We start from the raw sequence: 8,597 nt of genomic DNA, 5'->3' as shown, positions 1-8,597 counted from the left end.
TTATAGGACTTGTATATATAATCTAAAATGTCAGCAAGACATCACAGATGGGTTTACATCTCAAAACAAAATAGCCTACAGATGTTCCTTCTGGGAGATTTTTGGCAAGGGTCTGTCTGTAAAAGCTCCAGGGGATTAATCGTGACTCAGGTTCCTAAAAAACAATGATTAATTTAACTGGCTTTTAAATATCCCCTTCCGCTGATATTTGTTGTCAGCTGCCTACAGTTTAATATGCAGTGTTCTGCAAAACAGCTGCCAGTGCTACAATCAATGAAGCAAAACTTAATATGTATTCACAATCTAAATTAGTATCAATACTTTGACATTCATTACATTTGTTTTGGGGGAAGAAAAGTATTTCTGGTATGTTTCATTGGTCCCCAAACACCTTCCAATCTGGACATGATGGGGCTGATTCCAGATGGCTTTTCTGAAATTTTATTAAAGTAGGTCAGTGTCATTTGTTTAGATAAAATATGAAAACTCTGCCCAGTAGCAGTGGCATCACTTGATTCCTGATGCCCATGTTCCAGATACCACATATAAACAGTTAAGACAATCTTAGCTTTTCTTAGACAATCTTTATCTCAAACTTCAGACATTCCAGAATTGTCATGATGTTTACACTATCTCATTATTTTGAGTTAAAAATCCTGTTCAAGAAAAAAATTGTGTATCACTTCCTAAAAAGGAAAATTCATAGCACTTGTCACAAGTGGAAGGCAACTATACAAGCCAGGGAGGGGCTTGTATTACACAGGAAGGTGTAATTAGTCTGCCTAGCCAGTTTTATCCAATGAAAGGCATGTGTGTTAGAGAGATTAGCTAAGGGTAGAAATTCAAGCATAGAGGCCGGGTGCGGTGGCTTATGTCTGTAATCCCAGCACTTTGGGAAGTTGAGGCAGGTGGATTACTTGAGCTCAGGAGTTTGAGACCAGCCTGGCCAACATGATGAAGCCCTGTCTCTACTATAAGTACAAAAATTAGTCGGGCATGGTGGCACACACCTGTAGTCCCAGCTACTGGGGAGGCTGAGGTAGGAGAATTGCTTGAACCCAGGAGGTGGAGGTTGCAGTGAGCCAAGATTGCACCACTGCACTCCAGCCTGGGTGACAGAGGGAAACTCCATCTCCAGAAAAAAAAAAAGAAGAAAGAAAGAAAGAAATGAACAAGAAAGAGAGAAAGAAAGAAAGAAAGAAAGAAAGAAAGAGAGAGAAAGAAAGAAAGAAGGAAAGATAGAAAGAAAGAAACAAAGAAAGAAAGAAAGAAAGAAAGAAAAGAAAGAAAGAAAGAAAGAAAGAAAGAAAGAAAGAAAGAAAAGAAAGAAAGAAAGAAAGAAAGAAAGGAAAGAAAGAAAGGAAAGAAAAGACAAGTAAATCCGAGTGTAGATCCAAACTGAGACACTGAGACTTCTTCCTTATAGTAGTCAGGAGCAGGCGATTGAAGTAATTCTGTCCTGTGGGGTTCAGCATCATGCAAGTTCCCCCTGGGCCGTTCTGCATCTGCAAGTGCAAATGCAGGGCACTTGCTCCACACTCTGGGAACCCAGATTAATCAGTCTGCCGTGTCACACAGTTGAAGGAGTTGCATTTATCTTTCTGGCTCCCAATTCCTTTAAAATTACATTTGTTGCAGAACCTCCACAAGGCTAAATAAAATAAAATTACATTTGTGGTCATCAGAGAACTGAAGGAACTATTAACTGGCTGTCCTGTGTTTGCTGAGATCTGGCTGTTGACAGTTCCTGGTTGGCCCCCAGTTACCCATGTCAGTTATCTCTGTTAACATTTCCAAGAATCTTTGTAGGACAATTCTCCACTTGCAAGGTCTTTAAAGTAGAACTCTGGTTTTTTTTTTTTTTCAAGGCAATTGGCCCATTGCCAAAAGGTTTTACTGTCTTAAAGCCAGAACTGTCTTTCTGAGATCTAATTCCAAGGACTCCTCCACAGCTAAGTGAGATGCCTCACACCAGTATTAGGTGATTCTTTGTGTGGATGGAACAGAGCATTTTCATCTTGTGTTTAAAGCAATTTGTTGGCTTCGGCTCCTCAGCACTTTCTACACCAGTCTCCCATTCACATCCCTAGTAATGCCTATGCGAAAAGAAAAAAAAGAAAAAGAAAAAAGAAAGAAAGAGAGAGAGAGAAAGAGAGAGAGAAAGAAAGAAAGAGAAAGAAAGAGGAAATGAAGGAAGGAAGGAAGGAAGGAAGGAAGGAAGGAAGGAAGGAAGGAAGGAAAGAAAGAGAAAGAAAGAAAGAAAGAAAGAAAGAAAGAAAGAAAGAAAGAAAGAAAGAAAGAAAGAAAGAAAGAAAAAGCTGATGGTGAAACCTACAGGTTTAAGGACTTAAACCTCAAGCTTTGTGTTAGGAGTAACGGGAGTGTGCTGAGAGGGCAAACGAGTCATACCAAAAAGCCACATTGCTCTCTCCTAAGCACCAAACCTACTCCACTCCTGAGGCCAGTGGTTCAAACAGAAAATAACTGGAGAAGACGAGGAGGTCAAAGGATCAGGGAACTAAGCATTATGTGAATTCACCAGAAAGATGTACAAAGCGCTTGTGTTTACATTGTTTTTATGGTACTAGCAGAATAAAACTGAACTATTTTAAAAATGAAAAAAACTGATATGATAACTTTACTTGTTTGATGCCGCATGGAGTATTATACATAATTAGAGCATATTAATATGAAAGTAAAATTTTTGAATGTTAAAAACCATTGTGCCAACCCTTTAAAATATTAGATCATTAGGAAGTCCATTTATTCCAGAAATGCAGGTGAGACTCATCGCGTTAGGAAATTCATTAACACAACAAATTATGTTAATTGAATTAATGAGAATGTCTTGTGTTCATAGATGGAAAAGAGATAATGCCAACATTTTAAAGAAAATTATTTAAAATAATTTAATTAGTATGGAATTGGTGCGAAATGTTTCTTAAAAACCTAAAAATAGATTTGTATAAATGAAAAATTATGACATTACATGATTAGGCAGGGTCAACATTATTAAGACATCAAAAGTACTTTAATTAATAAGTTGATTTTATGGCTGTATGGTATTCCATGGTGTATATGTACCTTTGCAAGGGCATGGACGGAGGTGGAGACCATTATCTTGCAAAGGAATTCAGGAACAGAAAACCAAATACAGCATGTTCTCACTTGTAAGTGGGAGCTAAATGATGAGAACACATGGACACATAGAGGGAAACAACACACACTGGGGCCTATCGGAGGGTGGAAGGTGGAAGGAGAGAGAGGATCGGGAAAAAAAACTAATGGACACCAGGCTTAACACCTGGGTGATGAAATAATCTGTACAACAACCCCGCCCTGCTGACAGACATTTCCCTATGTAACAAACCTGTACATCCTGCACATGTGCCCCTGAGATTAAAATAAAAGTCAAAAAATAAAAAAAATAAAATAAGTTGATTTTAACTCCAATATAGATAACATCTGTGTTCTGGATATAGAAATTTTATTGTAAAGAAGAGCAAACAAATTAAAATATCCATGAAAAGTCTGAGAATTAAAAGAGAGTGACTTCCCCTTTAAAATATTGTAGAGACTTGGAAATTAAAATTGTGTTGTGTTGTTTCATCATTAGTCTGAAAGACCAATGGAATACAACATTCAAAAATGGAATAAAACATATGTAAAAAAGTACTGTGCAATAAAAGCAGGAGTGTAGAAAGAAGAGGCGAAAGCTTGCTGCGTCTCATTGGGCACTGAAGCTCACAGACAGGCAGCAGGCTTTGTCTCTCACCACGTGTGCTTTCTGCAAGTCTGGTATTGCCACATGTGCAGGAAGGACAGTTACCATTTGAGCAAGAGCATTTTGGGGCTAATATGTGATTAATGTGACTTTTTCTGCCTCAATATTCATTGTAACCTGTTCTCATAGCCCACAGTATGTTTCCTGCTGAGCTGAGATGTTACTGCCATTAATAAAGCTGTATTGCCTGCAACTGTCCCCCTTTCTATGTTTGGGAGCTTTGAGAACAGTCACACATGATTGTGTAATTCTTTAGTTCGTCACTTGCCTGGTGAAAGACTTTCTGGGGGGCTCCTCTCCCTACTGGGCCCACAGGGGTAAAAAGCTAGTGAAGAGTTCTGGGACAGAACACTGCATGGGAACAGTGAGATGGGACACTTCAAGGTACAATGCTCTTAACTTATACCCAAACTGATGCAGACAGAAAGTTCCGCATGCCATCAGAAAATGAGAAAAAAAAAACACGTTTGGAAGGTGAAATCATCTTTGGTTGTGAAAAACACTATCTTCTTCAGAGGATGTGCTAAAATCAAAACTAACAGATGATCTATGTCTGGAATAAAAGTGGTCATTTGTTAACAGATGCTGGCGAGGCTGCAAAGGAAACTCCTATTCACTGTCTCTGGGAATGTAAATTAGGTCAGCCACTGTGGAAAGCAGTTTGGGGATTTCTCAAAAGATGTAAAACACAGCTACTAATTGACCCAGCAATCTCATTACTGGGAATATCCCCAAAAGAAAATACAACATTCTACCAAAAAGACACACGCAAACCTGCACACGCAGCACCTCTATCTAATACAAAAGTTGGCATTATTTTAAAAAGTTTTTATTTGTGAAAACTTTTCACCCATGGTAGGGATGAAAAAGTACATTCTCACTAAAGTCAAGAGGCACACACCCAAAGCAGCCCCGGGGGCAGGGCTGGGAAAGCCAGCAGCACCAGCATCCTCAGCACATGCCAGCAGGTGTTGGCTGAAGCAACAGGTGTCCTGGGGAAATGGAAAGGAGTTACTTAGACACAGTTGCTGATTCTCGAATTTCCTATTTTTCCCAGGATGTCTTTATCATTTTCTTACCCTCCTGTCTATGTTTAGACACATGGCCCTCAGAGGTGACTTGTTGGCTGCAGAACGAGGAATTCATCACTGTCCTTTGGTCAAGGTAGAGGGAGTTATGTAATTTCATAAACTGTCCATATGTGATGATGGAAATAAAAAAAGAACTGAAGAGATGGAGAAGATACATCATATTCATGAATAGAATAACTCAGTATCATCAGGATGTCATTTCTTACCAATGTACAGATTCAATGCACTTCTAATCAAAATGGAAGCAAATTATTTTATGGATATAGAAAAAGTAATTCTAAAGCTTATATGGGGAAGAAAAAGACCTTGAATAGCTAACACAATATTGAAGGAGAACAAAGCTGGAGGACAGACAGGCACTACTCAACTTCAAGACTTACTGTAAGGCTACGGTAATCAAGGCAGTATCATATTGATGAAAGAATAGACAGGTTAATGAAACAAGACAGAGAGTTTAGAAATAGCGACACATCGATATATTTAATTAATCTTTGATGAAAAAGTAAAGGCAACATGATGAAACAAAGGTTGGTTTCTTCAGAAAGTGGTGCTGGAACAACTGAATACCCACATGTAAAAAAAATGAATCAGATCTTACCTTCTCACAAAAATTAAGTCAAAATGAATCACGGACCTAAATGTCAAATACAAAACTATAAAACTTCTGGAAAATAACAGGAGAAAATCTAGACTCTCTTGGGTTTGATGATCTCTAGAAAAAAATGCCAAAGTTACAGTACATAAAAGAAATAAGTTCCTGATGGAATATAGATTAAAAATTTTTAATATACAAAATGAAAAAAAATCAGAAGAAAATATAAATGCCTATTTACACAGATACATTTTTATGTTGACAAAACCTTTCTAAGACTCTCAGAAATAAGCATTGTGAAGGTTAATTTAGCAAAACAAAAATTACCCTGCATTTGAGAAAAAATAAAAGGCAGCATACTTGTAAAATATTTACTACACATGTATGTGCATGTGTGTATATATAGCAGATTTAAAAATCTTCATTTTACAGAGAATTCACTCAAATCAACAAAAAAATCCTCTATTTAAAATTGGGCAATTTAAATTAGAGATGTAAATTGCAGATCTAAGAAAAGTACTTTGCCTCTAATTTAAAATTGGGCAAACTCCTTCTTCTAGATCTGCAAGTGACTTATGCACACAGGAAACAATATTTAGTGTTCCTCGTTAGAGAAGGCATTTAAGTTAAAACAGGAATCAAATACTGTTTTCTATCCACAAAGTTTATGAGGATAAAGAGCAGTGATATTTATACTGCTGCTTAAAGTTTAAGTTGCAGATGACTTTTCAAATAGACAATTTGGTGGTAAGTACCATATTTAAAAAATTGTATATGCCTGTTGGTGATCAATTCTATTACATTAAGATATTTTTAGAAAATAAGGAAACATACACACAATTTCTTTTTTGAGCGCTGCTTAAAATATCAGTGTATTAAGAAGAATCCATACAATGGCTTTTATAAATACATTTCAGTGAATTTACAGCGTGGGATAAAATGTGACCACTGAATGTAGAAACATATACAGAAGTATGTTGACATTTGAAAATGTATTTTGGTGTACCAAGTAAGGGTAAAGTTCAGTTTGTTTATACATACAGATGATGGTCTTGTGTTATCTGAAATTATGTACGAAATATGATAAAATTTGTTATTTGAGGGCATTTGTTTTAATATAAAATGTTTTTCCTTTTTATTATCTTTGATTTCTGCATTGAACAAGTACAATGTTATTAGTAAAAGTTTATTATTAATGAAATAATTTTGGGGAAGAGCAGGAATATGAATTTTGCACAGATTAAAATAATTTTTCACTTTCTATATTTTAATTTTTATTTTTTGTGGATTAGTATATTCTGTGAACTTTTAGCATTTTCAGAAGAGAAACTTTTTATCTGTGCTTGTTGATTTACATGTACATTTTATTAGAAACATATTTTTATTATATCTAGATTTATTATATATATGTCAATAATTACAGATTAATCATTTTAGTGTAGTTTTGTTATTAGGAAAATAAAGTAGCAAATATAAGTGCTTTATTTATAGCAGTTTTTTAAGATATTGAACTTCCCAACTATATTTATCCATTCTTTGAATCCATTTATCACATGTAAGCTGAATGCCTATTATGTAGAAGACACATTCTATTAACTCTCAAGACCCTTTCATCCTTAAAAATTTCACATTTACCTGCTCAGCCTCAGCAACATGAGAGGCTTAAAATTGGAGTAATAGGACTGAATCTCAATTGAAGCTTTTCCTCTCATCTTTCAAACAAAAATACTTCTGAAGTGAGAAATTAGTAAAAGATAACTACCAACCACGATTTTGGAAATTTATAACAGCTTTAAATAGTAATATGAATAATTGGAAATACCTAATTTACATGTACTCCCTCCATAAATCTAAATATGAATTAATATACATTCTGTAAATCTAAATACAAAATAAAATGAGCCATACCTATTCATTTGAATCCCAAGTTTTCTTTGGCTTGAAGTTTTTAAAATATTAAAGGAGTACTTTGTTTTAACAATTTGTTGTTTTTATTTCAACTCTCCTTTTGCGTAGTACTCTTAAAAGCTAAAATTTCTTTAAGTGTAAATCCTGTGATTAGGACTACCATCGTCCTGTTGTATATACCATATTCCACTTCATGGAAGGCACCCTGAATTGTGTGATGCCTCCTTATTTTATGTACCAATAAAAGATTGTTTAAATTTTTGCCAAATATAGTTCTAATAAATAATGAATTGTAAGTGGCATTTCAATGTCAGAGATGCTAAAATATGAGAAATTGAGCATCTTAGAACCGTTAAAATACAGTGTTATCTGTAACCTTTAAAACACACCACAAAGTAGGCATGATTGTATTATTTTACTTAAAATGTTGTCTTTGTTAAGTAGAAGTTATAATTATAATATCTAACAATTACTGAGCTGTTACATGTGCTAAAAACTCTTCAAAATACTTTGCATAGATTCTCATCGAGGCATCACAGTGATGTCCTGTGAGATAACTGCTGTATTCATCTTCACTTTATTGATGAGAAAATTGAGGCACAGAGAGGTTAAGAGACAGCTAGTAAGTGAAAGACCGTAAAGTTTATTCAAGCCCAAGTTGAACTGAGTCCAAAGGCCAAGCTCTTTCTATTCAAATAGGCCACTCTTTCATTAATGTAGTGAGTAATAAGAGTGAATGAATGTTGTACTTTCTTAAGGAGAATATTAAATATTTGTTTTGAAGGCAGAGAAAGAGCATGGTATTTAATGTTTACAATTGTATAAATCATTGTATGTTTTGAGACAATGGACTAAACTTTCCTAAAAAGTCCTCTCACTCTCATAGGACTGCTCTACATGGGGCCTGTGTCAACAGCCATGTGGAAGTAATAACACTTCTGGCAGACAGAAAGTGCCGGCTTGATGTCCGTGACAGTGAAAACAGGACACCTCTGATGAAGGTAAATAGTAGCCAGTCCTTTCAGCAGGAGATGGATTTGGTTTAAATACGTGGAATAAAAATGAATTTATCTCATTGAAATACAACTAGTTTCTGAAACCTGTGAAATATTTATTTTGATTTCCTATAATTTATAATTCACTTCTTGCTTTAATACTGACAGGCTCTACAATGCTGGAGGGAGGCTTATGCAAATATTCTGGTAGATTCTGGTCCCAGTCC

General features: G+C 35.5%; 1 long non-coding RNA gene across 1 annotated transcript; it reads right to left on the bottom strand.

Annotated features, from left to right (window-relative positions):
• Positions 1 to 4,597: 4,597 nt before the first annotated feature.
• LINC02673 (long intergenic non-protein coding RNA 2673) lies at positions 4,598 to 6,079 on the bottom strand. The gene is made up of 2 exons (NR_187428.1): positions 4,864 to 6,079; positions 4,598 to 4,776 (listed from the first exon to the last, which is right to left on the bottom strand). It is a non-coding gene; the product is annotated as a long intergenic non-protein coding RNA 2673 (long non-coding RNA).
• Positions 6,080 to 8,597: the final 2,518 nt, after the last annotated feature.

This window comes from Homo sapiens, chromosome 10 (genome assembly GCF_000001405.40).
Source record: "Homo sapiens chromosome 10, GRCh38.p14 Primary Assembly".
Classification (NCBI taxonomy): Eukaryota; Metazoa; Chordata; class Mammalia; order Primates; family Hominidae; genus Homo; species Homo sapiens.
This window is presented reverse-complemented; position numbering and strand designations above follow the sequence as displayed.